The 22,804-nt window shown below is 40.9% G+C and overlaps 1 protein-coding gene and 1 long non-coding RNA gene across 7 annotated transcripts in view, besides 1 other annotated feature; one reads left to right on the forward strand and one right to left on the reverse strand.

Moving 5' to 3' along the window:
- Nucleotides 1–22,804, forward strand: part of SLC36A1 (solute carrier family 36 member 1) — a 211,490-nt gene that overhangs the window by 38,597 nt on the left and 150,089 nt on the right. The gene's annotated exons all lie outside the window — the stretch shown is intronic.
- Nucleotides 1–22,804, reverse strand: part of LOC105378234 (uncharacterized) — an 84,540-nt gene that overhangs the window by 30,794 nt on the left and 30,942 nt on the right. The gene's annotated exons all lie outside the window — the stretch shown is intronic.
- Nucleotides 4,364–5,302: an enhancer, noted in NCBI's record as "OCT4-NANOG-H3K27ac-H3K4me1 hESC enhancer chr5:150767117-150768055 (GRCh37/hg19 assembly coordinates)". NCBI's record gives its function as "activates a minimal SCP1, AML or CMV promoter by ChIP-STARR-seq in naive H9 embryonic stem cells {active_cell/tissue: H9 hESC(naive)}" and the evidence as "EXISTENCE:reporter gene assay evidence [ECO:0000049][PMID:30033119]".

The raw sequence follows: 22,804 nt of genomic DNA on the forward strand, positions 1-22,804 counted from the left end.
CACTTGTCCTGGAAGCTGGCTGGCTGGAGGACACCTGATCTGGTAATAAATACGGCAGCAGGGATAGGTGCCACAGCAGGATAGCAACGACAGCAGATCACTGTTTCCAGGCCGGGGGTGGAGTATTTCATTGTGAAACTGACTCTAGAATGGTTCTATTTGGTCTGCAGTATTGTAGCCTCATTAGTTCACATTTGTCGTACAGCTTATGATGTTCACATTTGTCATACAGCTTGTGATGAGTACTACTCTAGGATTGGCCAAAGATGGGCAAAATATATCACTCCAAACACTACTGATTCAGCATTGTTATCATGTCTTAAATTGCCAGCTGCACTTTTTTTTCTGCACTACATAATGTAGTGCATTTTAACTTAAATTTTTTTTTTTTTTTTTTGGAGACAGAGACTCGCTCTGTCGCCCAGACTGGAGTGCAGTGGCACCATCTCGGCTCACTGCAACCTCCACCTCCCAGGTTCAAGCAATTCTCCTGCCTCAGCCTTCCAAGTAGCTGGAATTACAGGCACCTGGCATCACGCCTGGCTAATTTTTGTATTATTAGTAGAGACGGGGTTTCACCATGTTGGCCAGGCTGGTCTCAAACTCCTGACCTCAGGTGATCTGCCCGCCTCGGCCTCCCAAGGTGCTGAGATTACAGGCGTGAGCCACCGCACCCAGCCTTTAACTTAAATTTTTTTCAGCAACATGTTACTTGTTTAAGGTACGTTATTGGTATTTCATTAGAATTAGTTCACCTTCTCTGTGAAACAAGTCCATTGTAAAACGTAGTGGAAAATGATACATATGTGGTTGCTAATAAAATCATAGTGTTTTGTGACAAAAAAAAAAGAACCCTATGCCATGAAGGCAAATGTCTTCATTTCTGAAATTCTTCAAATTATTCTCTCTAAAATGTTTGTATCTTCCAAAAAAAAAATCTCCTAGTATGAGCTGCATAACATGTTGCACCCTAGATTGGGCATCAGGAGACCTGTGTTCTAGTCCTTGCTCTGAAACTAACTTTCTGGGAGATCCAACATGTATCCTCTCCTTTCCGGGTGTTGGCTCTAGAAGCACTTTCAGTTTCCTTATCTGTGCTCCATGAATTATTAGTTACTTGCCTGAGAGGTCTGACTCAGGGTGCCTCCAAAACAGTTCTTACATATTAGGTGTGAGCCAGGAAGAAACAATGCCGGAAGAGAAATCTATGGGTTGTATATTTAAAACAAATGAGAGCTAGCAGTTTACACATCTAGAGTGAATATTTTCAAGGCAAACATATATGTTTCATGCCTTCTATAATCTGCAGTTTACAATGCATCAGACAATAGCTCAAAAGCATCATCCTTCAGATTCAGTAATTTAATCACTCATTTTTGATTTTCACTTATAAAGAAAACCAAAGAAGAGAATCTCAGACTTGGAAGGAGCTTCTCATAGGTTATATAGCAAAACTATTCCTCTCTTGGAAAGTGGTTGTCCTGCCTCTGCTTAAATACCTTCGGAGATCGGGCACTCACTATACTCTTCTCACCCAGTATAAAAAAGCTCTTTGTTATGTTGAGCTTAAAATATGCAACCCTCAAACCTCTCACTCATTAGTGCTTATTCCAACCTCACAGTATAAGCCATTCCACGCTCACCATTTACAGACATGAAGCCATTTTGCTGAACAGCCAGTAGGGGACCCTGAAGATCTTCCAGTAACAAAATATAAAGTCAAAAAGATGCAGAAAGAAACTTGTTTTATTAGGCAATTTTATTTTAAGTGAGGTGTGTATGTGTGTGTGTGTGGGTGTGTGAGAGAGAGAGAGAGAGTGTGTGTGTGTGTGTGTGTGTGTGTGTGAGAGAGAGAGAGAGAGACAGAGAGAAAGAGGGGCAGGAGGGTGCTTAAAGGCCTTCATAAATACCTTGGGAATAAAATCTAGGTCCTGGTTGCAAATTGGCCACCTGAGTACCACGCTTTTTGAATTAGCTGCCACTATTTAAAAACTGGAAAAGTTGCACAGACATACACAAAACCAAAATTCCTGGCTTCTTTGAGACTTGGAAATGACCCAGCATGGACCCTCTCTAGCTGGAGATGGGTAACTTTAGACTAAGCCATGTGCTGTTTTCTGGGCATGGCCCCTGCTCAGTCACTCACTTACCCTTCCCACCTGGCCATGTCAGGCAGGGAGAGAAAGTCACATTTTTAAACCTTGTTCTTTGAGCAGACTGTGGGGCTCCTAGGAATTTCCAAGGGGAAAAAACCCAGAATCGCCATCCAAATTGGAAATGCCTTAGAGGGCTTCCAACAAATTCTCATTTTCCAAATTGAGAAATGATTTACATTTTCATCCTTGTCTCTGGTAGTAATAGTGGCCAGGATGGGGCCAGGTAGCTCTGAGGAAGCAGATTCTGACTGAGACCATCTGAGAGGGCAGCTCTTTGTTGGCAGAAGTGCAAAACCTTTCACAGCCCCTTTTGCCAAAATGGGGAGAACTAGGGAATCTTAGGGCAACACCCCAATAAAAAAAACAATAAAACAAAACAATAAAAAAAGAGACAAAAACCAAACCAAACAAACAGCAACAACTACCTTTACATACCATTTTTGCACACAATTCTAGGAAGTTTATGGGTCATTGTTCAGGTTCTAATATGAAACCTTTTAAGAACAGAGGTTTCCTTCTGTATCTTTTTTTTTTTTTTTTTGAGACAGAGTCTTGCACTGTCTCCCGGGCTGGAGTGCAATGGCGCGATCACAGCCCACTGCAACCTCCGCCTCCCAGGTTCAAGTGATTCTCCTGCCTTACCCTGCCGAGTGGCTGTGATTATAGGCGCCCGCCACCACGTCTCGCTAACTTTTTTTTTTTGTATTTTTAGTAGAGATGGGGGTTTCACTATGTTGGCCAGGCTGGTCTCAAACTCCTGACCTCGTGATCCACCTGCCTCAGCCTCCCAAAGTGCTGAGATTACAGGCATGAGCCACCGCACCCGGCCCCTTCTGTATCTTTTTGGCTTTATATTTTGTTGTCAGATCTTCAGGGTCCCCTACTGGCTGTTCACCAAGCTGGCTTCATGTCTATAAATGGCAAGTGTGGAATGGCTTATACTCTGAGGTTGGAATAAGCACTACTGAGTGAGAAGTTTGAGAGATACAAACTTTAATTTGAACTTAGTTTCCTCCTGATCCAGAGCTTTAACTACTTTTAGTATTTGAAGATAATAACTCTGACCATTTCTCTAACTTGGTTAATGTCATATCCATCCTGTTTTTCACAGTTACCCTTACCTGGTGACTTCTGTCATGTGATGTCCACTTGTGTGGACATCTGTTGCTTTTAACACTCATCAATTCCCCATTCTTGGTGTAGAACCCATTTTTGCTTTGAGATACCATCCCTCTCACTGCATGGGTGTCTTGGTGGCACTGTCAATCAAAAAGCCCTGACTTTCCTTGCCCAACAGATGGGCTTGTGCAATTGGACACTCTCTCCATAGAATTTGCGTCTTGAGCATTGCACTCAAGAACAGAAAACAATTGGTGGAAATTCATCCCAGAGGCACAGTCCCACTGACTTCAGTCTCAGGCTCTGCCCGGTCCCTGTCTTTCTCAATGTCTGCTTCTTTAGCTTTCCCTTGACTCTGTGAGGCATGTTCAAATCCATTTGTTTTAATTTAAGTTGTCCAGAGTTATATTCTGTTGTTTGCCTCCAAAGAACCTAACCAATGTGCTTCTCTTAGGTTCAGCTTAATTCCACAAACATTTACTAAGCCTGGAATGTTGCACTTGCTCTAGGGAGGTCCTGGTGGCCCAACTCCTGTAAACTCCTGGGGCCTGGTGGAGGGACAGAAAAGAAGCAAATCTTTCTGCCTTTTACTCACATGTCTTACAAAGCATGGCAGAGCCAATGCCCAAGTCTACCATGAGGGTTCAGCACTTGCACACCCAGGAAACAGTGACAGGCACAATGATCTTGGCAGAGACATAGAACTGCAGGGGGTAGGTAAGGCAGATGCCACCCAAGTAGAGGAGCTCAACAGACTGGTACAACCTGTGCAAGGCAGAGGGGATCAGGAAAGATCCACGCACAGACACCAGCAGGCTCTGGAGGACCCATGGGGGTTAGTCGGGAGATCATTCAGGCCAGAGCATGAGACAGAAATTGGGAATAGTTAAAATTGCTTCCAATAACCCCCTAATTGCTAGAGAACATAGCAAGGTGCCAAGAGGCTATCTAGTAGAAACAATTGCAAACATGTCTTTAGGCACTGGAGTCTCACTCAAGTGGCAAGAGTCTCACTCTCTATGAAGGGCATGAAGGTGCCAAGACCTACAGAGAAGATGGTGGATTCATGTTCTCCATCTCAACTCCTGCACAGACATCTCTTCAATGAGTGGGGTGGTGGGTGAAACTGCCTGTGCTATTTATTTATTTATTGAGACAGGATTTCACTCTATTCCCAGGGCTGGAGTGTAGTGGCACAATCCTAGCTCTCTGTAGCCTTGAACTCTTGGGCTCAAGTGATCCTCCCACCTCAGCCTCCCAAGTAGCTGGGAATACAGGCATGTGCCACCATGCCCAGCTTGTCTGCCATTTAAGGACTCTTTGTCTTTTTGAGAACTAAACTCTTACCTTTTTTCTTCTCTTGCGCAAATTCCTATTTAAGGGACCTGGGAAGCCATGCCCTACAGAGCATAAAGTCTCACTAGAAGGGTTTTATTTAACCTTATATAATGTGGCTTGCTTTTGGACCTGACACTGGCATGACATCACATAACAGGCAAGGAGATCAAAATATCGTAACCCCAAATATATTTATTTGCCATATCTTGAAATAGCCCTGCAAAGTTGTTTCTTGCAGGGGAAAAAAGTCTACATTCTGTAGAGAACCCCCTTCCCTTTCTAGGCCTTTTTCTTCAGATCCAGGAGAGATTCAACTAAGTCTGGCCTCTTTTTAAGTCTGATAAGAAACATTTACAATCTATTCTCTCTGAAGCTTGCTACCTGGAGGAGGCTTCATCTGCATGATAAGAACCTTGGTCTTGGCGGTGGCTCATGGCTGTAATCCAAGCACTGTGGGAGGCCGAGGTGGGCGGATCACCTGAGGTCGGGAATTCAAGACCAGACGGTCCAACATGGAAAAACCCCCTCTCTACTAAAAATACAAAATTAGCCAGGCGTGTTGGCGCATGCCGGTAATCCCAGCTACTTGGGAGGCTGAGGCAGGAGAATCGCTTGAATCTGGGAGGTGGAGCTTGTGGTAAGCCTAGATGGCAACATTGCATTCCAGCCTGGGCAACAAGAGTAAAACTCCATCTCAAAAGAAAAAAAAAAAAAAAAAAGAACTTTGGTCTCCACAGTCTTAACCCAGAAAATGTATAAAACCTAGTTGTGGCTCAACCACCTTGGACACATGTCCTCAGTGTCTCTTGAGGGTTGTGTCATGGGCCACCGTCACTAGTATTTGGCTCAGAATAAATCTCTTCAAATATTTTACAGTTTGACTCTTTTCGTCAACACTTTCCTAATTGAATTCACGTGAGATCAGAGAGTGTGTGATGTTTATACTGGAAAAACTAAAAAATTGAAATTTAGGGGACCTGAAATAACTCGGCCTCTACCTCTAAGTATTTAGGTCACTTTACTTCCCTGAACTTTATATGCCTCATCTATAAAATGCAGATATACTCTTTACCTGCTAGAAGGTAGGGGCTGGATCTGATGGTCTCTGAAAGTCTACAATCATAAAACACTAACCACTTGGAACTAATTTTTATCAAAAATAGAAAAAAAACCCCACTGCTTTTAAGGGACATAAGGCAGAGGAAACATTAGTGCCATGTTACTCCAATACTTAAAAAGCCTTTAATCATATCTCATCGCCTACAGGAAAGAGTTACAAACTTGAGCCTGGGATTCAAAGTCCATAGTATTTCAGGTCCGGTGGTTCTAACTGTCTGGCCTGGTTACAATGCTGAGAGTATTGTTCCTCCCTCTGTCTCCACCTTCCTGTGCCTGATGTTGTAACCATTCCAGAGAATGTCTGAAGCATGCAATACACCTTCAAACTTCATGCCTTTCCATGTGCTGTTCCCTCTGCTAAGAAGGCTCTTTCCCTCCCTTTGTAATCTGTGATATTTCTGTTTATTGTTCAAGTTCCTGAGGCTCCTATAATGCCTCCCGTCCCCTGGTAATAATTAATCCTCCTTTTGAGTTTCTTTTTCTTTTAATTTTTTTTTAAATTATACTTTAAGTTCTAGGGTACATGTGCACAATGTGCAGGTTTGTTACGTATGTATACATGTGCGATGTTGGTGTGCTGCACCCATTAACTCGTCATTTACATTAGGTATATCTCCTAATGCTATCCCTCCCCCCTCCCCCGACCCCTCAACACCCTGGTGTGTGATGCTCCCCTTCCTGTGTCCAAGTGTTCTTATTGTTCAATTCCCACCATTGAGTGAGAACATGCGGTGTTTGGTTTTTTGTCCTTGCAATAGTTTGCTGAGAATAATGGTTTCCAGCTTCATCCATGTCCCTACAAAGGACATGAACTCATCCTTTTTTATGGCTGCATAGTATGCCATGGTGTATATGTGCCACATTTTCTTAATCCAGTCTATCACTGATGGACATTTGGGTTGGTTCCAAGTCTTTGGTATTGTGAATAGTGCCGCAATAAACATACATGTGCATGTGTCTTTATAGCAGCATGATTTATAATCCTTTGGGTATTATACCCAGTAATGGGATGGCTGGATCAAATGGTATTTCTAGTTCTAGATCCTTGAGGAATTGCCACACTGTCTTCCACAATGGTTGAACTAGTTTACAGTCCCACCAACAGTGTAAAAGTGTTCCTATTTCTCCACATCCTCTCCAGCACGTGTTGTTTCCTGACTTTTTAATGATCGCCATTCTAACTGATGTGAGATGGTATCTCATTGTGGTTTTGATTTGCATTTCTCTGATGGCCAGTGATGATGAGCATTTTTTCATGTGTCTGTTGGCTGCAGAAACTCCTTCTTTTGAGAAGTGTCTGTTCATATCCTTCACCCATTTGTTGATGGGGTTGTTTGTTTTTTTCTTGTAAATTTGAGTTCTTTGTAGGTTCTGGATATTAGCCCTTTGTCAGATGAGTAGATTGCAAAATTTTTCTCCCATTCTGTAGGTTGCCTGATCACTCTGACGGTAGTTTCTTTTGCTGTGCAGAAGCTCTTTAGTTTAATCAGATCCCATTTGTCAATTTTGGCTTTTGTTGCCATTGCTTTTGGTGTTTTAGACATGAAGTCCTTAGCCATGCCTCTGTCCTGAATGGTATTGCCTAGGTTTTCTTCTAGGGTTTTTATGGTTTTACGTCTAACATTTAAGTCTTTAGTCCATCTTGAATTAATTTTTGTATAAGGTGTAAGGAAGGGATCCAGTTTCAGCTTTCTACATATGGCTAGCCAGTTTTCCCAGCACCATTTATTAAACAGGGAATCCTTTCCCCATTTCTTGTTTTTGTCAGGTTTGTCAAAGATCAGATGGTTGTAGATGTGTGGTATTATTACTCAGGGCTCTGTTCTGTTCCATTGGTCTATATCTCTGTTTTGCTACCAGTACCATGTTGTTTTGGTTACTGTAGCCTTGTAATATAGTTTGAAGTCAGGTAGCATGATGCCTCCAGCTTTGTTCTTTTGGCTTAGGATTGTCTTGGCAATGCAGGCTCTTTTTTGTTCCCATATGAACTTTAAAGTCGTTTTTTTCCAATTCTGTGAAGAAAGTCATTGGTAGCTTGACGGGGATGGCACTGAATCTATAAATTACCTTGGGCAGTATGGCCATTTTCACAATATTGATTCTTCCTATCCATGAGCATGGAATGTTCTTCCATTTGTTTGAGTCCTCTTTTATTTTGTTGAGCAGTGGTTTGTAGTTCTCCTTGAAGAGGTCCTTCACATCCCTTGTAAGTTGGATTCCTAGGTATTTTATTCTCTTTGAAGCAATTGTGAATGGGAGTTCACTCATGATTTGGCTCTCTGTCTGTTATTGGTGTATAAGAATGCTTCTGATTTTTGCACATTGATTTTTTATCCTGAGACTTTGCTGAAGTTGCTTATCAGCTTGAGATTTTGGGCTGAGATGATGGGGTTTTCTAAATACACAATCATGTCATCTGCAAACAGGGACAATTTGACTTCCTCTTTTCCTAATTGAATACCCTTTATTTCTTTCTCCTGCCTGATTGCCCTGGCCAGAACTTCCAACACTATGTTGAATAGGAGTGGTGAGAGAGAGTATCCCTGTCTTGTGCCAGTTTTCAAAGGGAATGCTTCCAGTTTTTGCCCATTCAGAATGATATTGGCTGTGGGTTTGTCATAAATAGCTCTTATTATTTTGAGATACGTCCCATCAATACCGAATTTATTGAGAGTTTTTAGCATGAAGGGCTGTTGAATTTTGTCAAAGGCCTTTTCTGCATCTATTGAGATAATCATGTGGTTTTTGTCTTTGGTTCTGTTTATTTGCTGGATTACGTTTATTGATTTGTGTTTGTTGAACCAGCCTTGCATCCCAGGGATGAAGCCCACTTGATCATGGTGGATAAGCTTTTTGATGTGCTGCTGGATTCAGTTTGCCAGTATTTTATTGAGGATTTTTGCATCAATGTTCATCAGGGATATTGGTCTAAAATTTTCTTTTTTTGTTGTGTCTCTGCCCGGCTTTGGTATCAAGATGATGCTGGCCTCATAAAATGAGTCAGGGAGGATTCCCTCTTTTTCTATTGATTGGAATAGTTTCAGAAGGAATGGTACCAGCTCCTTGTTGTACTTCTGGTAGAATTCAGCTGTGAATCGGTCTGGTCCTGTACTTTTTTTGCTTGGTAGGCTATTAATTATTGCCTCAATTTCAGAGCCTGTTATTGGTCTATTCAGGGATTCAAAATCTTCCTGGTTTAGTATTGGGAGGGTGTGTGTGTCCAAGAATGTATCCATTTCTTCTAGATTTTCTAGTTTATTTGCGTAGAGGTGTTTATACTATTCTCTGATGGTAGTTGTATTTCTGTGGGATTGGTGGTGATATCCCCTTTATCATTTTTTATTGCATCTATTTGCTTCTTCTCCTTTTCATCTTTATTAGTCTTGCTAGCAGTCTATCAATTTTGCTGATCTTTTCAAAAAACCAGTTCCTGGATTCATTGATTTTTTTGAAGGATTTTTTGTGTCTCTATCTCCTTCAGTTCTGCTCTGATCTTAGTTATTTCTTGCCTTCTGCTAGCTTTTGAATGTGTTTGCTCTTGCTTCTCTAGTTCTTTTAATTGTGATGTTAGGGTGTCAATTTTAGATCTTTCCTGCTTTCTTTTGTGGGCATTTAGTGCTATAAATTTCCCTCTACACTCTGCCTTAAATGTGTCCCAGAGATTTTGGTATGTTGTGTCTTTGTTCTCATTGGTTTCAAAGAACATGTTTATTTCTGCCTTCATTTCGTTATGTACCCAGTAGTCATTCAGGAGCAGGTTGTTCAGTTTCCATGTAGTTGAGTGGTTTTGAGTGTGTTTCTTAATCCCGAGTTCTAGTTTGATTGCACTGTGGTCTGAGAGACAGTTTGTTATAATTTCTGTTCTTTTACATTTGCTGAGGAGTGCTTTACTTCCAACTATGTGGTCAATTTTGGAATAAGTGCGATGTGGTGCTGAGAAGAATGTATATTCTGTTGATTTGGGGTGGAGAGTTCTGTAGATGTCTATTAGGTCAGCTTGGTGCAGAGCTGAGTTCAATTCCTGGATATCCTTGTTAACTTTCTGTCTCATTGATCTGTCTAATGTTGACAGTGGGGTATTAAAGTCTCCCATTATTCTTGTGTGGGAGTCTAAGTCTCTTTGTAGGTCTCTAAGGACTTGCTTTATGAATCTGGGTGCTCCTGTATTGGGTGCATATGTATTTAGGATAGTTAGCTCTTCTTGTTGAATTGATCCCTTTACCATTATGTAATGGCCTTCTTTGTCTCTTTTGATCTTTGTTGGTTTAAAGTCTGTTTTATCAGAGACTAGGATTGCAACCCCTGCCTTTTTTTGTTTTCCATTTGCTTGGTAGTTCTTCCTCCATCCCTTTATTTTGAGCCTATGTGTGTGTCTGCACATGAGATGGGTCTCCTGAATACAGCACACTGATGGGTCTTGACTCTTTATCCAATTTGCCAGTCTGTGTCTTTTAATTGGAGTATTTAGCCCATTTACATTTAGGGTTAATAGTGTTATGTGTGAATTTGATCCTGTCATTATGATGTTAGCTGGTTATTTTGCTCGTCAGTTGATGCAGTTTCTTCGTAGCATCAATGGTCTTTACAATTTGTCATGTTTTTGCAGTGGCTGGTACCAGTTGTTCCTTTCCATGTTGAGTCCTTCCTTCAGGAGCTCTTTTAGGGCAGGCCTGGTGATGACTAAATCTCTCAGCATTTGCTTGTCTGTAAAGGATTTTATTTCTCCTTCACTTATGAAGCTTAGTTTGGCTGGATATGAAATTCTGGGTTGAAAATTCTTTTCTTTAAGAATGTTGAATATTGGCCCCCACTCTCTTCTGGCTTGTAGAGTTTCTGCCAAGAGATCAGCTGTTAGTCTGATGGGCTTCCCTTTGTGGGTAACCCGACCTTTCTCTCTGGCTGCCCTTAACATTTTTTCCTTCATTTCAACTTTGGTGAATCTGACAATTATGTGTCTTGGAGTTGTTCTTCTCGAGGAGTATCTTTGTGGCATTCACTGTATTTCCTGAATTTGAATGTTGGCCTGCCTTGCTAGGTTGGGGAAGTTCTCCTGGATAATATCCTACAGAGTATTTTCCAACTTGGTTCCATTCTCCCCATCACTTTCAGGTACGCCAATCAGACGTAGATTTGGTCTTTTCACATAGTCCCATATTTCTTGGAGGTTTTGTTTGTTTCCTTTTACTCTTTTTTCTCTAAACTTCTCTTCTCGCTTCATTTCATTCATTTGATCTTCAGTCACTGATACCCTTTCTTCCAGTTGATTGAATCAGCTACTGAAGCTTGTGCATTCATCACGTAGTTCTCATGCCATGGTTTTCAGCTCCATCAGGTCATTTAAGGACTTCTCTACACTGGTTATTCTAGTTAGCCATTTGTCTAATCTTTTTCCAAGGTTTTTAGCTTCTTTGTGATGGGTTTGAACTTACCCCTTTAGCTCGGAGAAGTTTGATCATCTGAAGCCTTCTTCCCTCAACTCGTCAAAGTCATTCTCCGTCCAGCTTTGTTCCATTGCTGGCGAGGAGCTGCACTCCTTTGGAGAGGGAGAGGCTCTCTGATTTTTAGAATTTTCAGCTTTTCTGCTCTGTTTTTTCCCATCTTTGTGGTTTTATCTACCTTTGGTCTTTGATGATGGTGATGTACAGATGGGGTTTTGGTGTGGCTGTCCTTTCTGTTTGTTAGCTTTCCTTCTAACAGTCAGGACCCTCATTTGCAGGTCTGTTGGAGTTTACTGCAGGTCCACTCCAGACCCTGTTTGCCTGGGTATCAGCAGCGGAGGCTGCAGAACAGCAGATATTGCTGAATAGGAAATGTTGCTGCCTGATCGTTCCTCTGGAAGCTTCGTCTCAGAGGGGTACCCAGGCGTGTGAAGTGTCAGTCTGCCCCTACTGGGGGGTGCCTCCAAGTTAGGCTACTCGGGGGTCAGGGACCCGCTTGAGGAGGCAGTCTGTCTGTTCTCAGATCTCCAGCTGCGTGCTAGGAGAACCACTACTCTCTTCAAAGCTGTCAGACAGGGACATTTAAGTCTGCAGAGGTTTCTGCTGCCTTTTGTTTGGCTATGCCCTGCCTCCAGAGGTGGATGGAGTCTACAGAGGCAGGCAGGCCTCCTTGAGCTGCGGTGGGCTCCACACCATTCAAGCTTCCTGGCCGCTTTGTTTACCTACTCAAGCCTGAGCAATGGTTGGCACCCCTCCCACAGCCTCACTGCCACCTTGCACTTCGATCTCAGACTGCTGTGCTAGCAATGAGTGAGGCTCTGTGGGCGTGGGACCCTCTGAGCCAGGCGCCGGATATAATCTCCTGGTATGCTGTTTGCTAAGACCATTGGAAAAGTGCAGTATTAGGGTGGGAGTGACCCAATTTTCCAGGTGCCGTCTGTCACAGCTTCCCTTGGCTAGGAAAGGGAATTCCCTGACCCCTTGCGCTTCCCGGGTGAGGTGATGCCTCACCCTGCTTTGGCTTATGCTCAGTGGGCTGCAGCCACTGTCCTGCACCTACTGTCTGACAAGCCCCAGTGAGATGAACCTGGTACCTCAGTTGGAAATGCAGAAATAACCTGTCTTCTGCGTCACTCATGCTGGGAGCTGTAGACTGGAGCTGTTGCTATTCAGCCATCTTGGAGCCACCTCCCCTTTTGAGTTTCTATAACACCAGTCCTCATCCATGTCACAGAGACTCTCACATGGAATGTGAGTTGGTGTGTGTGCATCAGTGTTTCCATGAAGCTAGGGATTGTGGCCAAATCATGTCAGGATTCCTTGTACCTGGTACTCTGTCTTCAAGACATAATGGTAGATGGGCTGTGATAAGGATGAGGTCATGCTTGGAAACCAATTATGACATAGGAAACACTCAGTGAATACTTACTGTTATTCTTTCTTATTTATTATTATTATTATTTTTGAGACAGAGTCTTGCTCTGTCACTCAAACTGGAGTGCAGTGGCACAATCTGGGCTCACTGCAACCTCCACCTCCCGAGTTCAAGCAATTCTCATGCCTCAGCCTTCTTAGTAGCTGGGATTACAGGTGTGCACCAACATGGCTGGTTAATTTTTGTATTTTTACTAGAGATGGGATCTCACCATGTTGCCCAGGCTGGTCTCGTACTCCTGACCTCAAGGGACCTGCTCACCGTGGCCTCCCAAAGTGCTGGGATTACAGGCGTGAGCCACTGTACCTGGACTTATTCTTCCTCCTTCTTCTTCTTACTATTATTATTATTATCATACATATATATATATTTTGGCACAATCTTGGCTCACAGCAACCTCCACCTCCCGGGTTCAAGCATTTCTTCTGCCTCAACCTCCCAAGTAGCTGGGACTGCATGTGTGCACCACCATGCCCGACTAATTTAGTAGAGATGGGGTTTCACCATATTGGCCAGGCTGGTCTCGAACTCCTGACCTTGTGATCCACCCGTCTCGGCCTGCCAAAGTGCTGGGATTACAGGCATGAGCCACCATGCCCGGCCTTCTCTTATTATTATTAATGATGGGTATAAACTACTCAGAAAGCGAAATCCAAGTTACCCCATTATATTTTTCTAAGTCTTTATTCTTTATAAATTAGATCAAGAATGTAGATTTCTGTTCTTTAGGGCCATTGACTTACAGTAGCCAAATATTAATTAGGGGTCACACACAAGAAAAAAGAAGTATGTTGTTTTAGATTTTTTATTTAAAGAAAATAAAAATTTTCTTTAAATATGAATGGGATTAAATATGAATGGGATTAAATATGAATGGGATAAACATGAATGGGATTGCATTTCCAAGGGGAAGATAATAACTTAGTGAGTCTCTTCTATGTGACAAGCACTGTGCTAAGGTCTGCACTTGGATTTATATTGTTTGACTACAACCCTAGGAAACAGGCACTGTTATCCCATTTTACAGGTAAGGAAGCTGAGCCTTTGATAGGTTAAGCAATATTCCCAAGTTCTTGAAGCTAGCAAGTGAGGAACATGAACTTGGACCCAACTCCCACTGACTTCAGAAGTCACACTCTTAAGTATTCTGTAAGGGCTCAGCTAGGCCACCTCTCCTTTCATCTGAGTTCTCTGTGACCCACCATCACTGTTAGTGATGTGAATTGTGTGCCATAAGCACTCTGGACAGAGCAGCATCAGTCCACATGGACTTCTCTGTAGGCCTGGTAAAATTAATAGCAATTACCACCCAATCTCGTTTGTGGAGTTTATAAAGCACTTTCATTCCCGATACTGCACATGATCGTTATACCAGCTCCTGGCTCCATGTAGACAGCTCTCAGCTGAAGCTCACACTTAAAACTTCCCACCTCTGCCTTTAAGGTCCAGACACTCTCTGTTGTATTCACCCCATGCATACACATGGAGCCCATTCCCAGTGAGGATGTTAACATAAGAGCACAAAGCGGGGAGCGGAACAAAAAGGGTTTATGTGCCTGAGAACGTGAGTGCTTTTGGAAAGTCAAGAAGGTGAGCAAAAGGCAGAAGAAGCTGCTAGCCACTCTATAGTGATATTCCACTCACCACCCTTCTCAAATATTCCCACATCTTGCCTGACTTACTGAGAAGTGGTAAGAATGTCAAGTGGGTAGGGCGCAGTGGCTCATGCCTGTAATCCCAGCACTTTGGGAGGCCAAGGTGGGTGTTCAAAACCAGGGCCAACATGGTGAAACCCCGTCTCTACTAAAAATACAAAATTAGCCAACCATGGTGGTGCATGCCTGTAGTCCCAGCTACTGGGGAGGCTGAGGCGGGAGAATCGCTTGAATCCGGGAGGCAGAAGTTGCAGTGAGCTGAGATCACGCCATCCCACTCCAGCCTGGGCAACAAGAGCAAAACTCCAACTCAAAAAAAAAAAAAAAAAAAAAAAAGTCAAATTATCTGTGGCCTCCAGATTTAACTAAAATTATTACATGTGGCCGGGCACAGTGGTTCATGTCTATAATCTCAGTGCTTTGGGAGGCCAAGGTGGGAGGATCGCTTGAGTCCAGGAGTTTGAGAACAGCCTGGGCAATGTAGTGAAACCCCATCCCTACAAAATATTATAAGAATTAGCCAAGCATGGTGGCATGTGCCTGTAGTCCCAGCTACTCAGGAGGCTGAGGTGGGAGGATCGCTTGAGCCCAGGAGGTTGAGGCTATAGTAAGCCAAAGTCGCACCACTGCACTTCAGCCTGGGTGACAGAGTGAGACCTGTCTCAAAAGAAAAAATTATACATGGACAGTCGTTGGATTAACTGACGCAGCAACCATTGCCCCTTGAGTTAACAGGAATCACCCTCTACCTCTGCCTCCGAGTAGCTTTGCGTCCCATGGGTAAGGACTATCATCATTATTATAATTTTTGTTATGGAAAATGGCAATTAGAATGTACAAGCTGGTGTCTTTGCAGGAGTTCTGTTTCTACGCTCAGTCCACCAGGAAGAGCACCATCCCAATTTCGGGTGTAAGGTGACCCGCAGTAATGCAGGTGTGCGGGCTGAAATATAATTTTGGATTCCTTTTGCTTGGGGTGTTAAAAAGAAAGTATCATATGTATCAGAATATATAGCAGCTCCTGAACAAAGGATGGAAAAGGAGTAGATACTGTACTGGAACCAGAACTGAAGAAACCTGTTTCCTTATTTGTGGTTTGAGATGGTTGTCTAGAAAAAGCTCCAATTGCTCATCCTTTATTCCAGCCCCAGCTGTTCATGATCTGTGATTCTGTGTTCCAGTGTGGTAATGTGGGAGCATCAGCTCCCAATAATTCAGTCTTGTTAAAAGAGAACTAAAAGGAAAACTGTTTAAAAAGAGCAACAGGGGAAGAATTTGAGTGGGAAATGAATTGGTCTGGGAGCTGGTGGGTGCAGGTGCAAGCCCTGGCTTTGGAATTTAACACATGCTCTTGGACAATCATGTCACTTTTAGCCCTTGGCTTCATTATCTGTGCATGGGTGTGGGCACCACTTCAAATTGAGGATAAAATTATGATCACTTTATTTTGAAATATTTCAGACTTACAGAAATGTTGGAAGAATAGTACGAAGAATTTCCATATGCTTTTTGCCAGTTCCCCAAAGATTAGCACATTTGCTTTATTATATTCTCCTTCTCGCTCTGCATGTGTGTATTTTAATGTGTGTATATATATATGAGTGTGTGTGTAAATATATATATATATATATATTTTTTTTTTTTTTTTTTTTGAGACAGAGTCTTACTCTATCACCCAAGCTGAAGTGCAGTGGTGCGATTTCGGCTCACTGCAACCTCCATCTCCCAGGTTCAAGCGATTCTCTTGCCTCAGCCTACTAAGTAGATGGGATTACAGATGTGTACCACCACACCTGGCGAATTTTTGTATTTTTAGTAGAGACAGGGTTTCACCACGTTGTCCAGGCTGGTCTCGAATTCCTGACCTCAGGTGATCTGCCCACCTCGGCCTCTCAAAGTGCTGGGATTATAGGCGTGAGCCACCGTAATGTACATATATATTTATATCCCCATACATATATGTTTGAGGGATGTGTGTATTTTTTCTGAGCTATGTAAGAATAACCCTGATTTATTTTAAATACTTTGTTCTTTTTGTGATTTAATTCGAAAGGTTCAGAGGATAAGAAATATTTGAAAACCACTGCTAAACTCCTTTTAGTGCTGACTTTTAGTAATTTTTCTCATGCTGGATTAAAATAGCTGTAGCTCCCAAATATGCTGATGAGGCCATACCCAATTAAATAGTAATTTTAAATATGAACATCATAGTGTGTAAATAGGGTGACTTGTTGGCAGGGATTGTCATACAGAGATTTTCAGTTCTCTCATTTTACAGATGAATAAAATGAGACCCACTGAAAAGAGAAGATTTGCCCAACATTCCACAGCTTTCTATCAGATATTTTCTCTAGCACATTAGCATATTCTGCATACACATAGTAAGGGATCATGAAGCAAAATAATAATAATCATTGTTTACTTTGTGCCTGGCAATGTGCTAATCATTTTGCCTTCCTTGTTTCTTTGAGTTGTTACAACATCCATGCTTCGTAGGTATTATAATCCCCATTTTACAGATGAGAGTGAGTCTCAAAGAGGTTTTTATTTATTTATTTAATTTCCAACTTTTAAATTTAGGGGGTACATGTGCAGGTTTGTTACATGGGTATATTATTATGAGGCTGAGGTTTAGGGTATGAACGATCCCATAACCCAGGTAACGATCTTAGTACCCAATGGGTGGTTTTTCAACCCTTGCTCCCCTTCCTCCCCCGTCTAGTAGTTCCCAGTGTCTACTGTTCCCATCTTTATGTCCATGAGTACCCAATGTTTAGCTCCCACTTATCAGTGAGAATATGTGGTATTTGGTTTTCAGTTTTTGAGTTAATTTGCTGAGGATAATAGCCTCCAGCTGCATCCATGTTGCTGCAAAGAATATGATTTCATTCTTTTTATGGCCGCATAGTATTCCATGTGGTATATGTACCACTTTTTTAAAATCCAATTCACAACTGATGGACATCTAGGTTGATTTCATGTCTTTGCTATTGTGAACAGTGCTGTGTTGAACATATGCATGCATGTGTCTTTTTGGTAGAATGATTTATTTTCCTCTGGTATATACCCAGTAGTGGGATTGCTGACTCGAATGGTAGTTCTATTTTTATTTTTTTGAGAAATTTACAAACTGCTTTCCACAGTGACTGAACTAATTTACATTTCCACCAACAGTGTATAAGTATCCCCTTTTCTCCACAGCCTTGCCAATACCCGTTTTTTGTTTTGTTTTGTTTTGTTTTTTTACTTTTTTATAATAGCCGTTCTGACTGGTGTGAGATGGTAGCTCTTTGTGGTTTTGATTCGCATTTCTCTGATTAGTGATGTTGAGCATTTTTTCATGTTTGGTGGCCACTTGTATGTCTTCTTTTGAGAAGTGTCTGTTCATGTCTTTTGCCTACTTTTTAATGGGGTTATTTAGTTCTTTTGCTTGTTGAATTATTCAAGTTCCTTATACATTCTGGATATTAGATCTTTGTTGGATGCATCGTTTGTGAATATTTTCTCCCATTCTGTAGGTTGTTTGTTTATCCTGTTGATAGTTAATTTTGCTGTGCAGAAGCTCTTTAATTAGGTCTCACTTGTCAATTTTTGTTTTTGTTGTAATTGCTTTTGAGGGCTTAGTCATAAATTCTTTGTCAAGGCCAATGCCTAGAATGGTATTTCCTAGGTTTTCTTCTATGATTTTTATAGTTTCAGGTCCTACATTTAAAGCTTTAATCCATCTGGAGTTAATTTTTGTATATAGTGATAGGTATGGAGTCCAGTTTTATTCTTCTGCATATGTTCTAGCCAGTTATCCCAGCACCTCTTATTTATTGAATAGGGAGTCCTTTGCCCATTCCTTAATTTTGTCAACTTTGTCAAAGATCCGTTGGTTGTAGGTGTGTGGCTTTATTTCTGTGTTCTCTGTTCTGTTCCATGGGTCTATGAGTCTGTTTTTGTACCAATACCATGCTGTTTTTGTTACTGTAACCTTGTAGTGTAGTTTGAAGTCAGGTAATGTGATACCTCCACCTTTTTTCTTTTTGCTCAGGATTGCTTTGGCTACTTGGGCTCTTTTTTGGTTCCAGATGAATTTCAGAATAGTTTTATCTAATTCTGTGAAAAATAAAATTTGTAGTTTATGGGAATAGCATTGAATCTGTATATTGCTTTTGGCAGTATGGTCATCTTGACTCTTTAAATCTGTGAGCATAGAATGTTTTTCCATTTGTTTGTGTCATTTATGATTTCTTTCAGCAGTTTTGTAGTTCTCCTTGTAGAAACCATTCACCTCCTTAGTTAGATCTATTCCTAGGTATTTTATTCTTTTTGTGGCTATTGTAAATGGAATTGTGTTCTTGATTTGGCTGTCAGCTTAAACATTATCAATGTATAGAAATGCAACTGATTTTTGTACATTGATTTTGTATTTTAAAATCTTCTAAGAGCCTTTTGGCAGTCTTTAGGGTTTTCTATGTGTAGAATCATATAGTTGGCAAAGAGAGATAATTTGACTTATTTTCCTATTTGGATGCCTTTTATTTCTTTCTCTTGTCTGATTGCTCTGGCTAGGACTTCAATACTATGTTAAATAGGAGTGGTGAGAATGGCCATACTAGTCTTGTTCCAGTTCTTAAGGAGAATGCTTTCGGCTTTTGCCCATTCAGGATGATGTTGGCTGTGGGTTTATCATAGATGGCTTTATTATTTTGAGACATATTCCTCCGATGCCTAGTTTATTGAAGGTTTTAAATTATGAAACAATGTTGGATTTTATCAAAAGCTTTTTCTGCATCAATCGAGATGATCATATGTTTTTTATGTTTAATTCTATTCTATTTATTTGGTGAGTAACATTTATTGGTTGGTGTGTGCTGAACCAACCTTGCATCCCAGGAATAAAGTCTAGTTGATCCTGGTGAATTAATCTTTGATGTGTGCTGTATTTGATTTGCTAGTATTTTGTTGAGGATTTTTGTGTCAATGTTCATTAGGGATATTGGCCTGTAATTTTCTTTTTTCATTGTGTCTTTGCCAGGTTTTGGTATCAGTATGATACTGACTATATAGAATGAGTTAGGGAGGAGTCTCTCATCAATTTTTTGGAATAGTTTCAGTAGGATTGGTACCAGCTATTCTTTGTACATCTAATAGAATTTGGCTGTAAATCCATCTGGTCTAGGGTCAAATAAAACCAACCATTTCATTGGTTGGTAGGTTTTTCTAAATGCTGATTCAATTTTGAAGCTCATTATTGGTCTGTTCAGAGTCTTGATTTCCTTCTGAATAAATCTTGGATGGTGTTTTGTTTCTAGGAATTTATCAGTTTCCTCTAGATTTTCTAGTTTGTGTATTTAGAGGTGTTCATAATAATCTCTGAGGATCATATGTATTTCTGTGGGATTGGTTGTAATTTCACCTTTATTATTTCTGATTGTGCTTATTTGGGTCTTCTCTCTTTTTCATTATTAATCTTGCTAGTGGTCTGTCAGTCTTGTTTATCCTTTCAAAAAATCAACTTTTGGCTTCATTGATCCTTTGTATGGATTTTTGCGGTCTCAATATCATTTAGTTCCGCTCTGATTTTAGTTATTTCTTTTCTTCTGCTAGCTTTGGGGTTAGTTTGTTTCTGTTTCTCTAGTTCCTCTAGGTGCAATGTTAGAGCGTTAATTTGAGATCTTTCTAGCTTCTTGGTGTAGGCATTTAGTGCTAAAAACTTTCCTCTCAACACTGCTTTTGCTGCACCCCAGAGATGTTGCTATGTTGTGTCACTGTTTTCATCTATTTCAAAGAATCTTTTGATTTCTGCTTTAATTTTGTTGTTTACCTGATATGGTTTGGATTTGTGTCCCCACTTAAATCTCATGTTCAATTGTCATCCCCCCAGTGTTGAATGTGGGGCCTGGTGGGGGTGATTAAATCATGAGAGTGAATTTCTCATGAATGGTTTAGTACCATCCCCTTGGTACTACTATTCTTGCAATAATGAGTTAGTTCTCACAAGATCTTGTCATTTAAAAGCGTGTGGCACCTCCCCCTGCTCCCAGCACCAAGCTTGTGCTCTTTCCGTGTGACCTGCCTGCTCCAGCTTTGTCTTCTGCCATGAGTAAAAGTTCCCTGAGGCCTCCCCAGAAGCAATGTACAGCCTGCAGAACCATAAGCCAATAAAACCTTTCTTCTTAAAAATTACCCAGTCTTAGATATTTCTTTATAGCAATGCAAGAATGGGCTAATACATTACCCAAAAGTCATTTAGGAGCAAGTTGCTTAGTTTCCATGGAATTGTGTGATTTTGAGATATCTTCTTGGTATTGATTTCTATTTTTATTCCACTGTGGCCCAAGAGTATGCTTGGTATAATTTCTGTCTTTTAAAGTGTATTGAGACTTGCTTTATGGTCAAGCATGTGGTTGATCTCAGAGTATGTGCCATGTGCAGATGAGAAGACTGTATATTCTGTGGTTGTTTGGTGGATTATTCTGTAGATGTCTATAAGGTCCAATTGGTCAGGGGTCAAATTTAAGTCCAGAATTTGTTAGTCTTCTCCTTTGATGATCTGTCTTACACTGTGAGTGGGGTATTAAAGACTCCCACTATTACTGTGTGGCTAAGTGTTTTCATAGGTCTGGAAGTACTTGTTATATGAATCCAGGTGCTCCAATATTGGGTGTGAATGTATTTAGGATAGTAAGTCTTCTTTTTGAATTGAACTCTTTATCATTATGTAATTCTCTTCTTTGCCCTTTTTTTACTGCTGTTGGTTTTAAGTCTGTTTTATCTGATATTAGAACAGTGATCCTTGCTCTTTTATGTTTTCTGTTTGTGTGATAGACCTTTCTCCATCTCTTTACTTTGAGCCTATGGGTGTCCTTACATGTGAAATGGGTCTCTTGAAAACAGTAGATGTTTAAGTCTTAATTTTTAATCCAACTTCCCACTTTGTGCCTTTTAAATGAGGTGTTTAGACCATTCACATTCAAGGTTAATATTGATAGGTGAGATTTTGATCCTGTCATGATGTGAGCTGGTTACTTTGTAGCCTTGATTGGGTAGTTGCTTTATAGGGTCTGTGGGCGATGTAGTTAAGTGTGTTTTTGTGGTAGCTAGTATCATTCTCTCATTTCCATGTTTAGAACTCCCTTAAAGATTTCTTTTGAGGCTGCTCTAGTGGTAACAAATTCCCTTAGTGCTTGCTTTTCTAGAAAATATTTTCTTTCTCCTTTGCTTATGAAACTTAGTTTGGTGGAATATGAAATTCTTGGTTGGAATTTCTTTAAAAATGCTGAAAATAGGCCCCTAATTACTTCTGGCTTGTAAGGTTTCTGCTGAGAAGACTACTGTTTAACCTAATGGGGTTTCCCCTTTGTAAGTGATCTGATTCTTCTCTAGCTGCCTTTAAGATTTTTTCTTTCTCATTGACCTTGAAAGTCTGATGACTGTGTGTCTTGTATAGTATCTTGCAGGGGTTCTCTGAATTTCTTGCATTTGCACATAGACTTCTCTAGTGAGATTGAGGAAATTTTCATTGACTATGTCCTCAAATATGTTTTCCAAGTTGCATACTCTCTCTACTTCTCTCTCAAGAATGCCGAGTTGTAGGTTTGGTCTCTTTACATAAGCCCATATTTCCCAAAGGCTTTGTTCAGTTTTTAAATTCTTTTATTTTTGTGGGACTGAGTTGATTTGAAAGACTGGTCTTTAAGCTCTGAAATTATTCTTTCAGCTTGGTCTAGTTTGTTATTAAGGCTTCCAACTGTATTTTGAAATTCCTGTAGTAAAATTTTCAATTCCAGAATAATTTAGTTCCTTCTTAAAATGGCTATGTTGTCTTTCAACTCTTGAATTGCTTTACTGACTTCCTTGGGTTGAGTTGCTACTTTCTCTTAAGTCTCTCCCTCTCTTTCTCTTTTTTTTTTTTTTTTTTTTTTTTGAGATAGGGTGTTGCTCTGTCACCCAGGCTGGAATACAATGGCGAGATCATGGCTCACTGTAGCCTCAACCTCCTGGGCTGAACAATCTGCCTGCCTTGGCCTCCCAAAGTTCTGGGATTACAGGTATGAGCCACTGCACCCAACACCTCTTGAATCTCATTCAGCTTTCTTGCCGTTCTATATCCGTCATCTCAGACATTTTAATCTAGTTAGGATCCTTTGCTGGGGAGCTAGTGTGAACCTTTAGAGATAAGAAAACCTTTAGAGATAAGAAAATGCTCTGGCTTTTCTCATGCTGATTCCTTCTCATCTTAGGGGGCTGGTGTTTCTTTATCTTTTTGAATTTGCTGTTATTTGGATGGGGCTTTTTGTTTCTGTGTTCTTTTTTACTTTTGGGGGTTTGACTGTAGTATACATTGTGTATAGTTGATTGGCTTCATTTCTGGGTGCTTTTAGAGGGCCAAGACTCTGTTTGGCTTCCTTAGTTTTGGTTATTTACCTACATTGGGTTTTACAGATGTTGCTTGGTGAAGAAATTTATCTTTGGTAGTACAATTCAGGCTGCAACCCAGTAGATAGTGCTTAAGAGTGAGGGCTTACAGATAGGCTGTTACTCAACTGCATGCCT

This window comes from Homo sapiens, chromosome 5 (assembly GCF_000001405.40).
Source record: "Homo sapiens chromosome 5, GRCh38.p14 Primary Assembly".
In the NCBI taxonomy this organism is placed as follows: domain Eukaryota; kingdom Metazoa; phylum Chordata; class Mammalia; order Primates; family Hominidae; genus Homo; species Homo sapiens.